The sequence below is a fragment of the Homo sapiens genome, chromosome 12 (assembly GCF_000001405.40).
Source record: "Homo sapiens chromosome 12, GRCh38.p14 Primary Assembly".
NCBI classification, from domain to species: Eukaryota; Metazoa; Chordata; class Mammalia; order Primates; family Hominidae; genus Homo; species Homo sapiens.
In genome coordinates, this window is record NC_000012.12 from 75,228,700 (window position 1) to 75,253,099 (window position 24,400).

The 24,400-nt window shown below is 33.7% G+C and overlaps 1 long non-coding RNA gene across 1 annotated transcript; it reads left to right on the forward strand.

Moving 5' to 3' along the window:
* Nucleotides 1-6,040: 6,040 nt before the first annotated feature.
* Nucleotides 6,041-23,166, forward strand: LOC100130268 (uncharacterized). Its single transcript, NR_149000.1, has 2 exons — nucleotides 6,041-6,418; nucleotides 21,794-23,166. It is a non-coding gene; the product is annotated as an uncharacterized LOC100130268 (long non-coding RNA).
* The last annotated feature ends 1,234 nt before the right edge of the window (nucleotides 23,167-24,400 follow it).

Genomic DNA, 24,400 nt, shown 5'->3' on the forward strand with positions numbered 1-24,400 from the left:
CTGAGTGAGATGTTAGCTGTGGGCTTATCATATACGACATTTATAAGTTGAGGTACATACCTCCTATACCTAATTTGTTGGCAATTTTTATCATGAAAGAAGGTTGAATTTTGTCAAATCCTTTTTCTGCATCCATTTTAATAAACATATGTTTTTATTCTTCATGCTCTTAATGTGGTGTGTCTAGCTAAAGTTTTATCCATTTTACTTCTTTTAAAAAATTCGAGACTTAGTTTTATTAATCTTTTCAATTGTCTTTCTAGTCTCTATTTCTTCTCTTTTGGTTCTACTCATTATTATTTCCTTAATTCTGCTAACTTTGGGCTCAATTTTTTCTTCTTTTTAAAGTTCCTTGAGGTGTAAATTTGCGTTGTTTGAAGTCTTTCTTTTTTCTTAATGTAGGCTTTTATTGCTATAAACTTCCCTCTTAGAATTGCTTTTGCTGCATCTCATAAGTTCTGGTATGTTATGCTTTTGCTTTCCTTTATATCAAGATTTTTTTTCCCATTTGATTTTTTTCTTTTATCCATTTGGTGTTCAAGAGTGTGTTGTTTAATTTCCACATATTTATGGATGCTCCAATTTTTCTCCTATTATCAATTTCTAGTTTCACACCCTTGTGGTCAGAATAGAAGTTTAACATGATTTCAGTCTTCTTAAACTTAAGACTTTTTTTATAGCATAACATATGATCTATCCTTGACAATATTCTGTGTGTGCCTGAGAAGAACCTGTATTCTGCTACTTTTGGATGGAATGTTCTGTATATGTCTGCCAGGACATTTTGATCAATATTGCTATTCAAGTCTACTGTTTCTTTATTGATTTTCTGTTTGGATGTTGAAAGTGGGGTGTTGAAGTCTTCCACTATTTTTTACATTGGATGTTGAAAGTGGGGTATTGAAGTCCTCCACTATTTTTACATTGCTACCTGTTTTTCCCTTTAAGCCTGTTAATATTTTCTTTACATATTTAGGTGCTACAATGTTGGGTGCATATATACCTATTTACATATTCAGATGCTACAATGTTGGGTGCATATATATATATATATTTACATATTCAGATGTACAAAATAAATATATAGTTACATATTCAGATGCTACAATGTTGGGTGCATATATATATATATATACATATATTTATATATGTATATATATATATACATATATTTATATATGTATATATATATATTTACATATATTTATATATGTATATATATGCACCCAACATTGTAGCATCTGAATATGTAAATATATATATGAAAGTTTATCCTCTTCCTGAATCACCACTTTATCATTATATAATGACATTTTTGTTTTTTGTGACAGATTTTGACTGAATTCCTATTTTTTCTAGTATAAGTATAGCCACCTTGCTCTTTTTTAGTTACCTCTTGCAGGAAGTGTTTTTTCTGTCTTTTAACTTTCAGCCTATAAATGTCCTGAAAGCTAAATTGAATATCTTGTAGGAGGCACATTGTTCAACTTTTTAAAAATATGTTCAGCTATCCTGTGCCTTTTGATCAGATACTTTAATCTATTTACATTTAAAGTCATTATTTAAAACACTTACTGCTGACATTTTGTTTTCTGACCATTTTGCGGTTTCTTTGTTCCGATATTTCTCTTGTGTGATCTTATTTGGTGACTTCTTTATGGTTTTAGTGGTACACTTTGATTCATTTCTCTGTTTTGAGTATCTACCAGAGGTTTTTTCTTTCTGATTACCAGGAGGACTATATAAAATATTTACTGTAATAGCAGTCTATTTTAGCTGATAACAACTTAAGTTCAATCACATACAAAACTTCATACTTTTGTTTCTCTTCTCACACACATTTTACGCTATTGGTGTCACACTTTATACCTTTTTATATTGTGTATCTATTAATAAATTAATGTAGCTATAGTTATTTTTAATCCTTTTGTATTTTTACTCTTACACTGGAGTTAAAGGTGATTTCTGCATCACCATTACACTATTACAGTATTCTGAACTTGAATATATATTTAGCTTTATTTATAAGCTTTATACCTGTACATGTTGTTAAACAACAGGTTTTCATGTTGTTACTTAATATTCTTTTGTTTTAACTTGTATAGTACCCTCTAGCATTTTTTATAAGGCATGTCTAGTCGTGATGAACTCCCTTGGCTTTTGTTTGTCTGGGAATGTCTTTATGTATCCATTTCTGAAGGATTGTTTTGCCAGGTGTATTACTGGCTGTAAGGGTTTTTTTTCTTTCAATGCTTTGAGTATATTATCCTACTTCTTCTTGGTCTGCAAGGTTTATGCTGAAAAACATCTACTCATAACTTTTTCAGGTACCTTTTTATGTGATAAGCCATTTTTCTCTTCCTGCTTTCGAAATTATTTTGGTATTTGACTCCTGACAATTTTATTACAATACACAGCAAAGTACTCTCTTTTGGACTGATCTTCATTAGGTATGTTTCAGATTCATAAATCCAGATGTCCATATTCCTTTTAAAATGTAGAAAGTTTTCAGTTGTTGTTTCTTTAAATAAGTTTTCTGGCATTTTCTCTCTCTCCTCCTTCTAGGACTTAATGTATATGTTTGTTTGTTATAGGCTTTTCATGTTTCCTGTATGCTTTCTTCACTCTTTTTCATTTATTTTTTTTTCCCTAACTGGTTAACTTCAGGTGACCTCTCTTTTAGTTAACCGAATCTTCCTTCTGCATGATTGAGTGTGCTGTTGAAGTTCTTAACTGAATGTTTTCAGTTCTATTATTGTATTTTTTATCTCTAGGATTCTAGCTTTTATGGTTTCTATTTCTTTATTAAACTTCTTATTTTGTTCCTTCATTTTTTTCTAATAATGTTTAGTTTTCTGTGTTCTCTTGCATCTCATTGAGCATCTTTAAGATGATTATTTTGAATTCTTTGGCACGTAATTCATAGATCTCCATTTCTTTGGGGGATGGTTACTAGGGCTGTATTGGTTTCTTTTGGTGATGTTATGTTGCCTGATTCTTCATGATCTGCATAGCTTTGCATAGATGTCTGTGTATTTGAAGGAAAAAACAAACAGCTCTTCAGTCTTTACACACTGGTTTTGGCAGGTAAAGATCTTCTATTGTTAGGTCCCTCAGATTTATGAGACTGCCTCCAGGATCACAGTTGAGTGGTGTTGGAGCCAGGTCATATGGCTGCTGCTGGATCCACAGGGGAATCCATGATTACCAGGCCTGTTATTAGTAGTTCAGGTAGACATACATGAATCCTGTCTGATACCTGGGTGGATAAAATTTCCTCCAGGACCTTAGTCAGTAGGGCTGATGTTGGGACAAGAGTCTATTTCATGGTCTGCCATTGGATCTCTAGACAGTGGGACTGTTACCAGATGTCTCTTGCTGGGTCCCTGGGTGAACAGGACTGCTCCCAGATAGCAGCTGGGAGGGATCAGAGGCAAGACACAAAGCTGCTTCATAATCCATGGTCAAACCAGTGCCAGCAGTTCTACCTCTGAGGTCACAGATAGTCATGTCTCCCAAATAATTCCACAGGCAAGACTGCTCCTGGACCATGCTTGAAGGGGCTAGAGTTGGATCATGCACTACTTCAGGGTCCATAACCTGAACTGAAGTCCCAGGTGCTTTTGGCTTTTCCTGTGTTTCTTGGCAGATGGTTCTGGTGTTAGAACTAAGGCCAAATGAAGTTGTAGCTGAATCCAAAGAGGTACATAGCTGATTTTAGGTTTATAGCCAGAACCATGGTCAGTAAGCCTGCCAGATGGGAGCATACGTGTCTTTTCAAAATGGCACTACTCAGTCTTGGGCTCCATCTGGGTTTCACAACCTCCTACCTGGATGCCAAAGCTCCCACAAAGGCAATTTTGTCCATGGATAAATATTGTTGCTGTTGTGGGATATGAGTGAGGCACCTCCTATTTCACTGTTTTCCTGGTATCACTCTTTCATTTTGTTATTATTTATAGTTTCACTTTTTCTGTAAAATTTTTCAATTTTTTTCTTTTAATTCCTTAAACAGGCACACCATGGTTATTTTAAAGTCTGTGTCTGTTTACTTCATTTTCTCTTTTTCTTACTGGTTATTTCTATATTCTCTTCTCTTGGTTTTTAATCATGTTGACTGCCTCCACGAATTACTTCATTTTTTATTGAAATTATAAATGAAATGTTATGAAAATGTGATGACATTAATTCCCTCTAGAAAGGATGCACCTTCCACAAGCATTTCTTTTACTGCTGTATAATCTTTTATTAAGGGTTGCTCAAAAAAAAATAGGAATTGGCTATTCTAACTTAGCAATTATCCAGGACAAGTAAGTGCTTGACTAATTTAGTTAATCTTGCAAATTAAAATTTGACCTTTAACGATACTCTTTATTGATCTATTTAATAACTATATATTGTTAAATATTTTTAAATCTATGCAGCTAGGAGAGCTAGTAATGATAGATCACTTGGATCCTTTTACAGAGATAAGGGTGACTTGATCTGGGCTAACGTTTTTTGAAGGGTTTTTCTACTTATTTTTCAATCTTATTTCTATGGTGTAACCTTTCAAATTCCAATCCAAAGGTGGGAAATTGACTAGTGCTATCCCTTCTTGATAAATTCTGGATACCAATATTTTCCCATAGTCCTACAAGTCTATCTAGGTTTTGCTCTGTTATTTCCTTCTAAGCCTTTTTTTCTAGAATTGACAGGTATCTCTTCTTGAAATACTACCCCAAGTGTCAGGCTTACTTCTCTGAGTTTTTATCTATCCCTGAATCTGACTTCATAATTCCTCACTACCTGTTGACTCTATGTGCTTTCAAGCAATTTTGTGTTTATATTTTGTCCATTTTTCTAGACATTCTAGATGATCTGCATTTTTTGGCTGCCATTTCTAAAAGCATTTCTCTGTTACCATTTGCTAAAGGTTACTCAAAAAAAGTATGGTTTGCCTGTTTTAATTTAGTAATGACATAAGACAAACAGAAACAGTGTCTGAACAATTTTATTTAACTCATTTTTGCAAAGAACTTATTTTAGAATACTTTGTGTTATCTACTTAACAATTATTTATTGAGGGCTTACTATGCACAAAGTACTGCTTCAAATCATGAGCATACAGTAATGAAAAGACACCCAAGTTTCTTACCTCTCAGCACTTACTTTGTCACTGGTGTAATATAAAAAGCAAATGGATAAGAAACTATATAACTTCAGATTATCATAAATGGTATGAAGAGAATAAACCGTGAATTGTTATAGAAAAGTAAATTGCAAGATAAAACTTAAACATTAAAAAGAATCCCTTGTGCACAGTGGTGGGAAAATGGTGTCCAGGCATAGGTAACTAAATAAAAAAATACCCTGAGAAAGAAAAAAAAGCTTGCTATATTAGCAGATCATGGCTAAACTATGATGTTGTTAGCAAGCAATTAGTATAATTTGAAATTCAAAAGGAGCACAGAGTCTGGATCATGTAGAACCTTGTATAAGAACAGCTCAGCTTTGTTCCATAACTTTTTAAAATTGAAGATCATATAAGTTATGGTGCTGTATTATAGCTGAGTTAGCTGCCATAATATTTCTTCCCATTTTCTTACCAAAAAATGCTGTCAGCCCACTAAACTGGTAGGAGTGCCCTATACTGTCAAAACACTTCATAACTACATTGTTTCTACTGACAGTTTTACCTCTTGGAGGGTAGTGGAAGCAACTGGGGAAATTGCTACTCTGAACTTAATAACAAACAAAAGGGAAAAATTGGTTGGAAAAGTAAAAGTGATAAGAACCATGGGGACAGGAAATAATACTTCTTTAGAATTTAAAATCGCACCAAAAGAAAATCCTGAGCACATTCAGACAGTCATTAAATCTTTGAAGAAAATGTTTTTATTAGTTTAAAAACAAAGTGAAAATGGACTCAGGATGTTGGAACCTAAGAAGGAAGACCGCAAGTGTTTCAGAATGTTCCACAAAAAATAGTTCTGCTTACATCATTATGGAAGGAATTTTGATGAGACAGGTCATAGAGGGAAAAGAAAAAAAGGCTAATATAGCCATAAAGAATGCTTTTAAATCAAGTAATACACTTGACTTAGAAAGACAAGCCAGCGGCAATTATAAAATAATGACACCTAAGAATGTTTTCAAGAAGTCTGGTTCATAATGCATTCAAACTTAAAAAAATATTAAAGACAACTAAAAAAATTTTGCTCATTTTTGGAGCAAAAAAACTACCAAAGAAGGAGCAGCTTGAGGGAATATTAATGGATTATGAGAAGAAAATGAAACTGAACTATTTTGCGTTATCCTACAAGATGAATGATTATAGAGTACAATAGACTGACTAACCAGGAGTTGAAAGCCAGATCATAAGATATTTGAAGAGACACAGTAACCTCTCAAAATGAGGCCAATTTTCTTAGATCAGGTGAGTTACCCCTGGAGTGTTAAAATAATTTGCAAATGAATTTGCTGAAGAATATGTGATGGGCATTCATCTTTCAGAAATCTTAGTGAGTAGAGATGAGCTGGTGAAAGCCTAGAGAGAATCTAATATCTTTCTAATATTCAAAAGAGCAGAGAACAAAGTGAAAAATCCTGAAGACTGTTCTTATCTAAATAACACTTTCAGAACGGATTATAACGGTATAGTTTATGAACTTTACAAAATGAAGCTGTTTTTATTAGGAAATAGTAAGTTTACTAATGGCAAGTTATATATTCTAATGCATTTTTCCATCTCTCCTTTGCTTTCTATGCTCCAACCACAGAGATCTCCCTTGCATCCAAAAACCTGGCATACAGTTTGGGTATCCCTTCTCCAAGATATGTGGGGCCAGAAAATTTTCAGATTTTGGAATATTTGCATATATATAATGAGATATCATGGGATCAGACCCAAGTCTAAACACAAGAATTCATTTATATTTCATATACACCTTGTCCACGTAGCTTGAAGGTAATTTAATCCAATATTTTTTAATAATTTTGTGCATGAAACAAATTTTTGACTGCATTTTGACTGTGATCCATCACATGAGATCAGGTGTGGTATTTTCTATTTGTCGCATCATGTTGGCGTTCAAAAAGTTTCAGATTTTGGAGCATTTCAAATTTAAAATTTTCAGATTAGGAATTCTCAACCTGTAATAGAAATGCAGTAAATTTTGTTGAACAGATTATTCAATTTTCTCTAATATGACATCCTTCAGTGGCATTTTCCACACAAGGCCTCTGCACATACTCTTCCCTCTGCCTGTAATGCTCTCATTCTCTTGATTGACACTCTCTTAAACCAAAATTTCTCTGACTCCAGGTCAGAGAAATTTTGGTCATAAACTCTTTGTAGGGCAGTTTTTGAGTGTAGGCAATCTCTTTTATAGATACTTGAAGAAAAGCTAGAGAAATATAATTTGGTTGTGGTTCAGTTAAGTTGAATAGCAACTTTGGATTAAATGACTATATCCAAGAGATAGAGATCAAATAGAGTCTGGAGACAGTGTATGTTATATGCTAACTGTCACTTCATATGATAAAGCAGTGATTTATTTTCTTTGGCCAAAGCTGGTACAATTTGAACAACAAAATAAATAAGAGAGTAATCACATGAGTAGTTTTAAGCACTTCCTGACTTTCTGGTACTAAAGATGCTCCAGGCAAGTATGACTTTTATACTTGACAAAAAAGGTAAACATCGAGGCCTCATTCTCAGTTGTTTGGGTTCAGGTGGCTCTCTGTACTCTCTCCACAGGGAAACTTTCCAAGAATTTTGTGGTTTTCTGCAGGATTTCTCACTGTAATATCACAAGGACATTCTCTCTCCCATTGATCTTTTCCCCTTAGGCATATTCAGTTACCATCTAAATTAATAAGAGTCCATCTTGGTAGTCTTCCTATTTTAGGCTACTATATAAATGACATACAAGATAGATTTACAGATCAAATAAAACATTTTGCTTGGGGGAAAAAATTTACTTCCACAAATGTGTTCTAAATAAGCTTTTTTAAGTTTAGAATAGCTTTAAATATACAGAAAAATTGAGAAGGTAGTACAAATAGTTTCCATACACCCGTACCCAGTTTCCACTATTAGTAGCATCATGCATTGTTATGGTGCATTTGTCACTATTAATGAACTGATATTGATTATTATCGTTCATTGAAGTCCATATTTTATGTATAGTCCTTAGTTTTTACCTAATGTCCTTCTTCTATTCCAGGATCTCATCCAGGAAACAATATATTAATAATATTTAGTTGTCATGTCCACTTAGGTTCCTCTTGACTGCGACTTTCTGCAGGCTTTCCTTATTTTTGATGACTTTCATGGTTTTGAGGAGTATTGGTTAGGTATTTTTTGTAAAATGTCCCTCAATTGAAATTTTTCTAATTTTTTCCTCATGATTGGGTTTGAATTATATAATTTGAGAAAGAAGAACACAGAGATAATTTGCTATTTCCATTCCATGATAATAACGGTACATAAAATCAACATGTCTTGTCTCTGTTAACTTTGGTCACACAGCTGAGGTGGAGTTTGTCGGAGTTTTATCAGTGTAAACTTATTCCCCACTGCCTCACACTATGCTCTTTGGAAGTCACTATGCACAGCTCACACTCAAAAAGTGGGGAATTATTCTCCAATTTCTTGAAGGCAGAATACCTACATAAATTACTTGAAATTTTTCTGCTTGGAAGATTTGTCTATGATCTCCATTTATTTATTTATTCAAATATTTATTTAAGTCCCTATTTACTCATGGGTATTTATTTCATAATTTGGGTTATAATCTAATACTGTCCTTTTATTTTGTTGCTCAAATTACTCCAGCTTTGGCAATTTTGAGCAACATGCATCATTATGGGTTTTTTATTTGTTCGTTTTTTGGATTTTTTTAAGTACTTCTTTACTTTCTGGTACTACATGATGCTCCAGGCTCATCTTGAATATTTCCTGCCTTGTGCTGGAATCAGTCATTCCTTCCCAGGGAAGCCTGGCTTCTTTCATTCAAGAATGGTATTCAAAACCAAGATCTGGGTATGCTCATTGCCACTTTAGTGTCATTGTTTTTGGGTTCCCTCGACTGACAGAACGAGGACATAGATGTATGTACACTAAACCATATATACACACATAGTATAATCATTCCTGTATGTAACCATCTGTATCTATATTAAGCCAAACATGAGTTCATACTGAGGTCTCCAACTCTAATTTGTATGGATCATTCTAGCCCCCTTTCCTTGATTACCTCAAAATCCCTCTGAGAGAAACCTGGCTCCCACTATTCACCATTCAATTTACTTAAGTGCCTTGTTCAATTCCAGTATATATGTATGATGGTTTCAGAATTGTTCATCAATACACCTGGGAAGCAATATTATCCCTACATCACAGCATAATGTTTATGTAAAGTCCACGTTGTCTTTTGTCGTATAGACTCCACTCTTCCAAAGTTACTGAGGTCAACAGGTTTTTCTCCCATGCTCTTCAGTGAGATTGCCTCATACATTGGTAACACAGACAGATTTTGGAGGGGTGTCACATTCTGCATTCCATTCTGGGATCCTTTATTCTCCTAAGATTTTTGCATAAAATAATATTTAATCTTTGTCTCAGGTTTTGGGTTTGACAGATACATAGTGTTATGTATTTACCATTGCAGCATCACACATAATAATTTCATTGTCCTAAAAGAATCTCTTCTTTTTATTTAACCTTTCCCCTTCCCCAAAAAACTTTGGAAACCATTGATCTGTTCGCCATCCTTCTAGCTGTGTCTTTTTCAGAATGTCATATAATTTGAATCATAAAATATGGAGCATTTTCAGACTGGCTTCTTTCACTTAGCCATATGCCCTCAAGATTCATCTATGTCTTCACATGGCTATATATCTCATTCTTTTTAATCAACAAATAGTATTCCATTGTATGAATGTACCAAGGTTTGTTTATTCATTTATTGAAGGATATCTTGATTACTTCCAATTTTGGTGGTTTATGAATAAGGCTGCTGTAACCATTCATGCGCAAGTTTTTTTGTGTCCATAATTTTTTCAACTAAGATGGGTCAATATCTAGGAGCACAATTGCTAGATCATATAATATGGCCATGTTTAGCTTTCTAAAGAGCTGCCAGTCTTACAAAATAGCTGTACCATTTTGTATATTCACTAGCAATAAATAAGTTGCTCAGCATCTTTGCCAGAATTAGGTGTTGTCAGTTTCCTGGATTTTTTTTATCTTCCTAATAGGTTTTAAGTACTATCTCATTGTTATTTTAATTTGTGTTTCCTTAATGACAAATGATGTTGAGCAAATTTTTCATATGCTTGTTGCCATTTCCTTTGATGATATGTCTGTTCATATTTTTTGCCCATTTTTAATTGGTTGTTTATTTTGTTATTATTGAATTCTAACAAGTTATTTGTTTTATTTTATTTATTTATTCCTTTTTTTGAGATGAAGTATTGCTCTGTTGCCCAGGCTGGAGTGCGGTGGCACAATTGCAGCTTCCACCTCCAGGGTTCAAGCAATTCTCCTGCCTCAGTCTCCTGAGTAACTGGGATTACAGTCATGGGCCACCATGCCCGGTTACAAGTCTTTTATTAGACTTGTATTGTGCAAATATTTTCTTTTAGTCTTTGGCTTACCTTTTCATTCACTTAACAGTGTCCTTCAAAGAGAAGAAAGTTTTAATCTACTAAAGTTTATTAGTTTTTCCTTTCTTGGATTGTGCTTTGAGTGTTGTATCAAAAATCAAATCACCAAACCCAAGGTCATGTAGATTTTCTCCTGTGTTTTCTTCTCAGAGCTTTATAGTTTTGCATTTTACATTTAGATTTATGATCCAGCTTGAGTTAATTTTTGTGAAAAGGTTAACGTCTGTGTCTGTGTTCAATTTTTGGACTTTCTATTGTTCCAGCACATGTTATTAGGTGTAAACACACTTAGGATCGCTATATATCCTGGGAGAATTATCCCTATTATTATTAGGGAACACCCTTTTCAAACCTCATAATCTTCATTACTCTGAAGTCTGCTTAGTCTCAAATTAATATAGGTTACATCTATTTTCTTGTGATTAGTATTAGTGTGGTATGCCTATCTTCATCTCTGCATTTAACCTGTCTCACTCTATTTTTAAAGTAGCTTTCTTTCACACTATATGTTTGGGTCTTGTTTTGTAATTCACTCTGAAAATCCATATCTTTCAAGTGGTTTATTTAGACTACTCATATTTAAAGTGATTACATATGTAATTGGATTCATATTTGTAACTATTTTCTATTTGGGAAATTTATTCTTTGTTTCCTCCTCATTTTTCAGCTTTCTCTGGTTTAACTGAGCTTTTTATAGAATGTCATTTTCTTTCCTTAGAATTATAGTTATTTTTAAAGTTCTCAGTGGTTACCTTAGAGTTTACAACATGTGTTTTGAACTAATGTAGGTATTTTTAACTAATCTAAGTCCACCTTTATGTAATACTATACCACTTCATATGTAATGCAGGTACCTTAACAAGAGTATTCTCAGTTCCCCTTTTCTGTTTCTGTGACATTGGTGTCATTTATTTAACTTAACCATATGCTGTTATTATTCAATACAATGTTACTGTCATTACTTTAAATAGATAAATTTTAGATCCATTAAGAACTTTAAAAAGGTAAAGATTTTATTTTTCTTGCAGAGCAGGTATCCTGACAATGAATCTCTGATTTATTGTTTATTTAAAAAAAAATCTTAATTTTTCCCTTCACATTGAAGGATACATTTGCTGGATATAAAATTTTAGATGATGGGTTATGTCTTTCAACATCTTAAATATTTTATTCCACTCTCTTCTTGCCTGCATGGTTTCTGACAAGAAATCAGCTGTAATTCTTATACTTATTACACTCTGTAGTAGGATTTCCTCACCTTATCTCCTCAGGCTATTTTCAAGATTATCTCTTAGTCTTGGTTTTCTGCAGTTTAGCTATAATATAGATAGGTGTATGCTTGGGTTATTATATTTACATTCTATGAGCTTCTTGAATTTGTGCTTTGGTATCTGTCATTAATTTTGGAAGTGTCCCAAACATTGCTACTTTAAATATTTCTTCTGCTATGTTCTCTCTTTCTTCTTCTTCTGGTATTCCAATTACAGGCATGTTATATCTTTTTAAGTTGTCTCACAGTCCTGAATGTTCTAGTCTCCTTTTATTCATTCTTTTTCTTGTGCATTTCATTTTGGAAAGTTTCTATGTACCTCTCATCACTAACATCATGAAAAACTGAGACATTATCTTAACATTATCTTTAGTGCAGCACATGCTTAGCAGAGAATCAACAGTGTAAACTTAGTCAACTCTGTTCTCATGAAATCTTTTTGTTCTATTTATCATTTCACTCTTTTCTGTTTTATTTGACAGAATAAAAATACCAATTCATTTATCTAGTATTTTTTATAACCCAATATACAGCTTTTTGCATTTTCAAAATCCAGCTATCATGTTTTTAATCTCCAGATATTTTTCTTGGATATTTCATTACTTCTACTCTAGTTTTTCTCAAATCATAATACATTTGCAGATTATGGATTTTTAAAAGGCTTCTCTAACTTCTTATAGCATAAGTCTGTTTTATAGGGGGGAATTTTACTGCCTCAGACTAATCTCATTTAAAATTGTGCAGTTTTCAATATATTGGTAAACTTTTTGGTTTACTTAACCTTTGAGAGAGAGGTCAAATATTTGAATAATATTGGGCTGAGATAAATTTTGAGAAATTGGGTGATTGAGTCCCAGTTCAAATCATAAAGGCAAGAACATAAAAACTTACATTTATTATAATTTTACTTTACAGTATTAGTGAAAAAGGACATTATACATGGATGCAATCACAGCATGGATTTTTCTCTTTGTTGCTGAAAATTTTCTCTTCTGTAATTGTGGAGTAGTCCCAATTATTTCCATATAACTATTCTCACTGGCTTGACAGCTCTGGGAACTACCTTCAGCTATCTCTGTAATTTAGTTTAAAAATGTAATATGAGAATAATATCTACAGCAGGTTCCCTGCCCTACATAAATCCTAGTATCTAGAAAATTTTGATGGCTTAATTAGGATAAAAGGTTGCTTCTCTATAAAACATACTTTTATCTAGCTCTTGCCTTTCAAAATTAGGTAATTGTAGTAGTTCTTTCAATGTTCTCTGAGTTTGGCTATATTTTATATACAGTGAGTTGTGGTATGATATGGTTTCCCAATACAGTTTCTCCCTCTGTTACAGCCTTTAGACTCAAGTCTTTTAAACACAATACACACTCTTTTCTAATTTTTATTATTGATACATATTTTTCACTGTTATTATATTCTCTTGGTAATTTAATGATGTTTTGTGAGAGATGAATGATAGAGGAATGAAAGTGAGAAAGATTAACATTTTATACTTTTATTATAATTATATTTAAAGTATACAGTCAGTGAAATCTTACTAATCACAAATATTACATTCATCTAAATTCTACAGAGCATCTTATTTCCCAGGAGGGCTTATGAGATTTTTTTTTTTTACCACTGGTTTTCAACAATTTTGGTAAATGTATTAAATACAATACTATACAGTAATAAAAGGGAACAAACTACTGATATACTCAACAACATGGGTAAATTTCACAGATAACATGTTGCGTGAATGGAGTCACATGCCAAAGAGTAGGGTTGGTATGATTCTATTTACATACATTTTTAGAACATGGAAAACTAATCTGTGGTGATAGAAATCAGAGCAATGGAGACTGGCAGGAAGCAGGAGAAGGTGATCACCTGGGAGGTAATAGAAAAGGATTTTCTTCTGTGCTGCAATTGAACTATGCACTGATTGGGATGTGGGCCCATGGGTTTATACATTTGTCAAAATTTATCATATAGTATTCTTAAGATCTGTGCATTTCACTGTATATAAATTATAGTTTAATTTAAAATGCTATGATAAAATAGCTGCACTAAAAGGAAAAATTGTTTGTTTAAAAAATTGCAATGTATAAACCTGGGAAATTAAAATCTTAAATATCTAGCAAAATTTTAGTAATCAATACTCCATCCTAGTAGAAAATTAGAAAACCATAAATACAAATATTTTACAAAAATTAATTAAAATGGCATTAAAATACATGAAAAATTTTAAACTCCTTTAGTAATTAGAGAAATGTAACTTTAAATCATAATGATTTATATATAATTTTTTGCCTTCCACATGTTCACTTATTATAAATGCCATATAACTATATATTTTAACATTTTTATATAGTAGACCTTCAAATAGTCGATGGGTGAATAAACTAATGCTTGCTAATTTAAATAGTCAATGTTTGATATGGCTTGGATCTGTGACCCCACCCTAATCTCATGGAGCTTGTTGGGGGGTTTGTTTGCTTGTTTTTGTTTTTGAGATGGAGTCTCACTCTGTGGCCCAGGCTGGAGTGCAGTTGCTTCATCTCAGCTCACCACAACCACTGCCTCCCGGGTTCAAACAATTCTCCTGCCTCAGCCTCCTGAGTAACTGGGATTACAGGCGTGCGCTAACACACCTGGCTAATTTTTGTATTTTTAGTAGAGTCAGGGTTTCACCATATTGGCCAGGCTGGTCTCGAACTCCTGACCTCAAGTGATCCACCCTCCTCGGACTCCCAAAATGCTGAGATTACAGGCATGAGCCATGAGGCCAGCTCCTAATCTCATGCTGAGTTGTAATCCCCAATGCTGAAGTTGGGGCCTGGTAGGAGGTGATTGGATCATGGGGGCAGATTTCCCGCTTTGGTGCTGTTCTCATGAAAGAATTCTCACCAGATCTGGTTGTTTAAAAGTATGTAGCAAGTTCTCCGTTCCCCTTCTCCCTCTTGCTCCTGCTCTGGTCATGGAAGCTGTGCTTTGCTTCCCCTTCGCTTTCCACCATGATGGTAAGTTTCCTGAGTACCCCCTGGAAGCCGAGCCGATGCCAGAATCATGCTTCCTGTACAGTCTATGGAACTGTGAGCCAATTAAACCTTTTCTCTTTACAAATTACCCAATCTCAGGTATTTATGCATAGCAGTGCAAGAATGAATTAGTATGTTTTAACGTAAATATTATTAAAATTGTAAATTATATATTTATAATTTAAAGAAAATGAGTGGATCTTAAGGATAATAACAATAAAACAGGTATCTAATTATATGGGAGGAAATTAAAGATGTAATAGTAAATTTTATAGCTTCCATTACTTAAAATTACGTAACTACAGAATTAAAATAAGTTAACATTTATATTCTGTTCTAAAATTATGATAAAATAAATTTTAACAAAGAAAAATAAAATTAAACACAAAATTTAGGAATAAGTTGATTAATTTAAGGAAAAAATAGAATTGTTTACTGTAAAGAGCTAATTCTTGGAAGCAATAACAATAAAATTAAAAGCAATTATCAATATTATCAAGAATAAGTGAAACAAGCATAATAATAAATAATACATCAAGAAAATTATAAATTATAAGGGGTATAGCATACAGAATTTCATGCTAACAAATTTGAAAAGAAAAAGGATTTTCTTTTCCGAAGAAGAATTAGGAAACTTTAAAATGCAAAAATAATAAAGATATAAGGAAAAACTAAGAAAAAAAGTGAGAAGCAAAAATACACTATTAAGGTTTACAAAGAGACCTAAAAAAGAGCTAGAAAATGGAAAGATATATCATGAGCAATCGCAAAACAATTAAATAAATCTATGTTTAAATACTATCTTAATCAATGACAAGATAACAAAAACTATTTCTGAAGTTAATTAAAAGTATAAACTAAGGATGCTAAGGAAAATAGAGCTATGAAATTTTTAAAAATAAAAGTAATGAGAAAAGATTCATTAACAGAAGTTAAAATATATTACAAAGAGAATTCATAAAAAATTCATAAACAGATCCATGTATATATTTTAACTTGGTTTGTGATGAAGACAGCATTGCAAAGTGAAATGAAATAAATAATATTTGAGCAACTGGATTTACACATTGAAGAAAAATAGAATATTAGTATGTAAATTCCATGCTAATTAGTATTACAAAAGTAGTAAAACGTAAGTTAATATTAATGGTGGGATTTTCTAATTAAAACACAAAAGCCAAAAGAAAAAACTGACAAATTTTATTTCATACAGACTAATAGCCTTCCTAAAACAAAATACAGCATAATTAAAGTTAAAATATTCAGCAAAGTTCTGGGGAACAATTTGCAACATATATAACAGACAAAGATTACTATCCAGTATACGTTTACAGAGTTCTTAAAAGTCAATATAAAAAACAACTCAATAGAAATAAGGAACAAGATATAAACAGGCAATTCACAAAGAAAAATCACAAATGCCTAATAAATATTTATAAGGGTGCTCAACCTGACTTAATAATAAAAATACAAATTAAAAGGAATTACTTTTTATAATATTGGCAAGAATTATAAACAGTAATAATATCAAGCCTTGGCAAGTTTACAAAGAATACTAATTTCATATGCTCCTACTGTGAGTATAAATTGGAGAAACCATTCTGAAATACAAGTTGACAGTCTATCAAAATAAAACTGTGCATCTCTGATGACTCAGCAGTTATACTTCTAAGAAACAATTATAAAGAAATATTCCCAGCTGAGCACCAAATTGTACATTGTAAAATGATTTCTTTTTTGTGGAGGTAAAAATTGGAAACCTAAATGCCTATCAATAAATTATTTTTATATTGTGTTACACAACTATTTTTTAAAATGAGATAAGCTTTTATGTGCTTGTACAAATCTTAACCCTAACTCTATAAATGGAAATTAAGAGATACAGAGACTTTTTAAAAAGATTTTATAGCTGATATGCACATGCGATGTCCTTACACTAATAAGCATGATAATCCACACCAACGAATGGGATAGAGGATGGCATGAAGACCAGAGATTGTTGTATCCATTCTTTGGTCATAAAAAAAAATAGTGTTTTGAATTTATTAAGGGATGAAAGGCTGACTTTTTGGATAAATTTAAATTGTTCCTTTAAGAAAAGGGCAGCAACAAACATTCACTTCAGCCTCGGCATGTATCTGGAATTTTGTTTTTGCAAAAATCTCAGCTGCATTTGGCAAAATTTCATGTTCTTTAAATAAGAAGATTAGTTAAAACAAAACAAAACAAAAAAGAGATGCAGAGACTAAAGGTAGAAGTATCCATTTCTAGCTGATAGAAATCCTAGAAAGTGAAAAATAAATAAGAAAATGAGGGGAGGAAATAACTGAAGACATAACAGTCATAATTTTTTGTAACTAAAGAAAGATACATGCTCTCAGTTGAGAAGCCTCATGAAGTACACAGCAGAGCAGAAAAGACAAAATAATGGATATTTATATTTGTAAATCTAAAACACAGAACGCCATCGGAAGTTCTCAAAGTTTCTTTTTTTTTTGAAGGTTTTTTTTATTTTATTTTATTATTATTATACTTTAAGTTTTAGGGTACATGTGCACAATGTGCAGGTTAGTTATATATGTATACATGTGCCATGCTGGTGTGCTGCACCCATTAACTCGTCATTTAGCATTAGGTATATCTCCTCATGCTATCCCTCCCCCCTCCCCCCACCCCACAACAGTCCCCAAAGTGTGATGTTCCCCTTCCTGTGTCCATGTGTTCTCATTGTTCAATTCCCACCTATGAGTGAGAACATGCGGTGTTTGGTTTTTTGTCCTTGCAATAGTTTACTGAGAATGAAGATTTCCAATTTCATCCATGTCCCTACAAGGGACATGAACTCATCATTTTTTATGGCTGCATAGTATTCCATGGTGTATATGTGCCACATTTTCTTAATCCAGTCTGTCATTGTTGGACATTTGGGTTGGTTCCAAGTCTTTGCTATTGTGAATAGTGCCGCAATAAACATACGTGTGCATGTGTCTTTATAGCAGCATGATTTATAGTCCTTTGGGTATATACCCAGTAATGGGATGGCTGGGTCAAATGGTATTTCTAGTTCTAGATCCCTGAGGAATCGCCACACTGATTTCCACAATGGTTGAACTAGTTTACAGTCCCACCAACAGTGTAAAAATGTTCTTATTTCTCCACATCCTCTCCAGCACCTGTTGTTTCCTGACTTTTTAATGATTGCCATTCTAACTGGTGTGAGATGGTATCTCATTGTGGTTTTGATTTGCATTTCTCTGATGGCCAGTGACAGTGAGCATTTTTTCATGTGTATTTTGGCTGCATAAATGTCTTCTTTTGAGAAGTGTCTGTTCATGTCCTTCGCCCACTTTTTGATGGAGTTGTTTGTTTTTTTCTTGTAAATTTGTTTGAGTTCATTGTAGATTCTGGAAATTAGCCCTTTGTCAGATGCGTAGATTGCGAGAATTTTCTCCCATTTTGTAGGTTGCCTGTTCACTCTGTTTTGCTGTGCAGAAGCTCTTAAGTTTAATTAGATCCCATTTGTCGATTTTGGCTTTTGTTGCCATTGCTTTTGGTGTTTTAGACATGAAGTCCTTGCCCATGCCTATGTCCTGAATGGTAATGCCTAGGTTTTCTTCTAGGGTTTTTATGGTTTTAGGTCTAACGTTTAAGTCTTTAATCCATCTTGAATTAATTTTTGTATAAGGTGTAAGGAAGGGATCCAGTTTCAGCTTTCTACATATGCTAGCCAGTTTTCCCAGCACCATTTATTAAATAGGGAATCCTTTCCCCAAGTTCTCAAAGTTTCTAGAATGAAAAAGTAAAGCCTTAAATTTAAATCATTGGCCTGAGGTTTCCAAACCTCAACATTAGATGTAAAAAAAAAAAAGACTAATATAGCATCTAGTAGATAAAGGGTGAATTCTTTTGTAAATAATATCAATAATTGGTTTGCTATATGGAATACACAATAAAATTATAATCAAATTTCACAAAAATAAGCTTCAAGAATTGAACATATCTTGTGAAAACCAAAACAACCAAATTAGTAGAAAATATATTCTATCTCTTATTCCATAGAGAATATTTTTAAATAAGAACAAAATGCATTTATGATGTAAGAGAAAACCATGTATAACAGTACTATATGGAAAGTAAAGTTTTCTTCAAATATGGTCCCTTATTTAAAGTTAATAATACAGGCCGGGAGCAGTGGTTCATGCCTGTAATCCCAGCACTTTTGGAGGCCAAAGTTGGTGGATCACTTGAGGCCAGGAGTTTAAGACCAGCCCGGGAAACATGGCAAAACCTCAACTCTACAAAAAATTACAAAAACTGGTTGGTTGTGGTGGCATGCATCTGTATTCTCAGCTACTTGGGAGGCTGAGGCACAAGGATTGCTTGAGCCCGGGAGCCGGAGGTTACAGAGAGCTGAGATCACACCGCCGCACTCCAACCTGCTCAAGAGAGCGAGACCCTGTTTCAAAATAAAATGAAGTTAGTAGTAGAAAAGGTAGTTGCAATATCCAAAACTGACATAGGATTAAGATCTAGAATATAGCAGGAAGAAGGAGACCACATGGCCTAATGGATGAGGCATCAGACTTTGGATCACAAGATATAATATATGAGGAATTCTTACAAATTATGAAGAAATATGAAAACCAGAAAGAGAAATAGGGAAAGGATATGAATGGGCCATCTGTAGAAGCAAACACTATAAATTATAAATAAAAAGGTCAGCCACGGTAGTAATCAAAGAAGTGCAAATAAAAATCACAATGAGATACATTGCATGTACTTCATGTTTGCAAAAACTCTAATAGTATCAAGTGTTGGTGCAGATGCCAAGAAATGGAAATCCTCAGGCACTACCATTGGATGAAATCAGTGGCATTTGTTTTGGAAATAAAATCTATTATTTAATGAAATAAGGATATGTATATATCCACAATCCAAAAAATTCTGGAGAAGGCTTTGCTCAGGTACACAAACAGACATCTATAAAAATATTCACTGAAGTCCAGTAGGAGTAAAAAGTTGGAAACAATGTAGATGGAAGCCAATAGAAGACTAGAAAGTGGGCACTAAAAGGATAAGTCCAATATATTTATCAAAAAAAAATTCTAGTTTTATATGGAAAAAGTAAGAAAAGTAAGAAATATAATACATCTTAGGTAATTATATATGAAATTTATGCTATTTATATCTACATTTATAAGAATATATATACATTATAAGAAACAATGCCATATATTAATACATGAACACACACATAAATAAAGAAACTTAAGTGGATTGGCAGAATGTAAGCACAAAAGAGAAGGAAAGTATAAGGGAATGGAATCATGCTGGGAGCTGAAAGGCATGAAAGCAAATAAAATGTGTGTCATACATTGTTTGATAATATACTAAGGAATATACCTCAATTTAGTTGGGTTCCCCTGAAATCCTCCTTTTCAAATGATCACTTTCGGTGTGGGCAAGGGCATGAGTAAAATAAGCACTTATATATACTGGTGTTAGGTAACACTTTACCAGGACATAAACTCCAAACTTTAACATTTTACTTCCGTTTTTTGAAATGTAAGACAAACTAGTCAATTCCCAAGCCTATAATAATGTATAGGAGCAGACCTCATCACTTGGACTTAGAGGAGACTTTAAAAAATGTTGGCCTTACTCTTTATCAAGTTTCTAAGCTCTTCATTCAACAGATGTCTACTGAACTTCAGTTGCATATCACAAACTCTCTGAGAATGTATCCCTATCCTTTACTTATTTCCTTTCAATATCTCTGATTGCTCCATTTTATTTTTCAGAATTTTACCCCTAAATTTGAAAATCTCCAAACTCAATCTTTTTTTGTGGTAAAATACTCTTCAGATTAATTCTCCATTCTCGTAGATATTCTATATTTTCAAATTCCATATCCAAATTTATGTTTCTTTAATCTGGATAGTTATGCTTTCATATTATTCTACTACCTCAAACTCAACATAAATCAGTTGAATCTCATTACCTTCTCCCTCCAAATAGCTCCCATTGCTAATTCCCATTTGCTTCTGTGGATACATTGTCATCCCAACTGACCTCTTAAGATCTTTTTTTAATTGCATATTTGTTTTACTTTTTTCTTTCCTTTATCAATCACATCAATTCCCATTAATTCACAACTGTATTAGTTTCCTATTGCTGTTATTAACAAATTAACACAAATTTAGTGGCTTAAACTAACACAAGTTTATTATCCTGCAGTTCTGGAGAACAGAAGTATGAAATAGGTCTTACCAGACTAAAAGCAAGATGTCAACAGGGCTACATCCCCTTCTGAAGGTTCTAGGGAAAAATTCATTTTCTTGCCTTTTCCAGATTCTAGATGCTGCCCACATTTGTTGGCCCCTGGCCCCCTCCCAGCTTCAAAACCTGCAATGACTGGTTGAGTCTTCTTATGCTGCCATCTCTCTGACTATTCTTTTTCTATTTAAGAACCCTTGTGGTTATATTGATCTCACCTGGCTAATCCAAAAAAAGTTCCCGGACTAATTGATGAGCAACATTAATTCTATCTTCAGCCTTAATTCTCCCTTGCTATGTAACATAACATATTCATATGATATTAGTTTAGGGTTTGAATATCTTTGAGGAGCCACTATTCTACCTATCACAATATCCAGTTCGTTTCAATTCATATATCCCCCATGTCTTATTTACTGTTTTTCTTTCTTCACAATTTAAAACGAATTCTCTGCAAAAGCCTTTGCCCCCCAGGCACATCTAGGGTCCCCACCAGATATCTTGCATGTACTCAGAACAAGTCATGTTTTTTAACCTGTGCTAATATCCCTCTTTTCTTTTTCAGGCTTTTCACTTGAGTGCTGTACATGTGTGTCCTTCAGGTACTGATGAAGCCTCTACAGAGCTCTCTTCTCAGCCTTGCTCTGCCATTTCTGCTGCTACTGCAGCAGTGACACTGGAATCCCTGAAGCATCAAATCTTGAATTGGAGGAAAGTACTTCTTTCCATATTTTGTAATATGTCCTACTAAAGGATAGCAAAGCAGAGTTGTTTGCTCCCATCTTAGAAACTTTTAAATAAAATTTAGGTATTACTTTTAAACATAGGTCCACAGAGAAGACAAATCTAAGTGGCAAAAATAATGTGTATTCAGCGTCACTATTCCCCAAGGATGACAAATGTATGTTTTTTGCTGTAATATCTCCCAGTTGACTCCATCTTCTCTTCTATTGAATTTTCAACCAGAGAGCTTCTTAGTTCCTTATTCAAATACAGTTTTGGTAGACCTAACCAGTATTATATGTGCCTGATCTATCTAAATCTAATCAAGTTTGGTTTAAATGAAATCAAGTGTACTCACAGCCTCTCATACCTATTCCATTTTTACTTTTGTACAACCACAAAATTAGCCCAGAGTGGGGGAGTTCACTTGATAATTTGCTAAGTGCAATTGCCACCACCAGTACTCTATGATCCAGCCCCTCCCTACCCAACATGACATCATCGATTAAAATTCCTAAATCAATGCTATTTTTTACTTAAGAATGTATAGTATTTTTCTTTGACTCTTCAGATAAAGACCCTCAATCAATCTACCACTCAAATATCTTCCTAATATTTACTGTAATACGGTTTCCATTGTTCTTTAATTTTAGCTCTTACCTTTCTTCATCTCAGCCCTATATCACGAATATTCTTCCTTTTCAAATGGTCACATTATTTCTAAGTATCCACCACAATCTCTACCTTCTCTCAGAACAGTTGTGAAATTTTAAGTTGTATTTTTGAAAATTTGGTAAATCATTTGATGCTTAAATAATTGAATAAGGTCAGGCTGTGTTTAATAAATGTCAGCTGTGCTTTATGGTACGTAGGTAAAACACAATATGGCTTAAAGGTAAAAATCAAACAATTCACCCTAAGGTTAGCGTTACAATTTTTATTATCCCCTTAGGTTAGCAAACCACTGATAACAAACCCAGGTGTTACTTTGTCCTTTCTTGTTAGACTTAAACTCAGTAATTCCAGATTAAGTCTCATCCTGATATCGTCAAAAACCCAATTTGGCAATTCAATTATACTGCCTGCCTTTTTAGAAAAATTTCCCTTTGTCGATGGCATCACACTTCCAATCTCTTTTTCAATGGTTGCCTTCATCCTCCTACATGTGACTGCAACTCCTTCAAGCTACATCAAAAATACAGTTCTTTAATTTTCAGAATTTCTCCCAAAAGTTTTCCTTTATTTCATCCTTATTGCCTTGCTGAGTCAAATTACTGCTATATGTTCATTAATAAATCATGAAATAAGTTTATCTAAAGATAATGTGAACACTTTTTCATCAACAGGAAGAACAGGGACTATAATTCAATATCTAATAACTTCCTTGGAGAAAGAAGCATTTCTTCTCAAAGCTTTCCAGATGAAAAATGAGACATAATTTAAAAATTACAGAATTACTTTGGCAACAGAGAAAAAGAGCTTTAAGGGTTCTGAGCTGTCTACTCTGACGCAAGATTTTTAGAGCTCTCTCTTGAGAAAGAAACAGCACTTATATGGGGAGGGAGGGAACAGAGTGTTGCTGTAATTGTTGATAAAAGTAAATAATTCCAACGAAAGAACCAGGATTTAAGACATGGTGAGAAGACCAAAAGATGCGATATTTGGAGACCTAAAGTTAAGTTTGCCAATTCACTTGGTGTTATTCAGCAGTTTACATGCATTTAACTGTCCTAATGAGGTTGAAGAGGTAGACATCATACAAACCAAATATCCTGTTTGGGGGTCTCCATACCTGATCTGGCAAGATAGAGTTACTGAGCTGAAAGAAGTCATCTTATCACCATTTAAATTAATTATAAGACATGGAGGGTTATAAGGAAGGGACTTAAACTAATGATTCGGCTGGGCACAGTGGCTCATGCCTGTAATCCCAGCACTTTGGGAGGCCGAGGCAGGCGGATCACGAGGTCAGGAGTGGGAGGCCGAGGCAGGCAGATCACGAGGTCAGGAGTTCGAGACCAGTCTGGCCAACATAGTGAAACCCCATGTCTACTAAAAATACAAAAAAATTAGCCAGGCATGGAGACACGCCCCTGTAATCCCAGCTACTTGGGAGGCAGAGGCAAGGAGAATTGTTTGAACCTGGGAGGCGGAGGTTGCAGTGATCTGAGATCACGCCACTGCACTCCAGCCAGGACGACAGTGTGAGACTCTGTCTCAAAAAAATAAAAATAAAAAAAATGACTCATCATGACATCTAACCCTATTACAAAAGCCCTGTATATATCAGAAATCTTGATACCCACTGACAATTCTTCACATATAGTCCTCATCACCTCCCTGTTACAGACAAGGTAAAGCACTTCCTGCACAAAAATGACTTGTGCAAAATTTAAAATAGAATATATCTGAGGGCAGTCACCTGTGAACAACTCACATTTCTACTTTC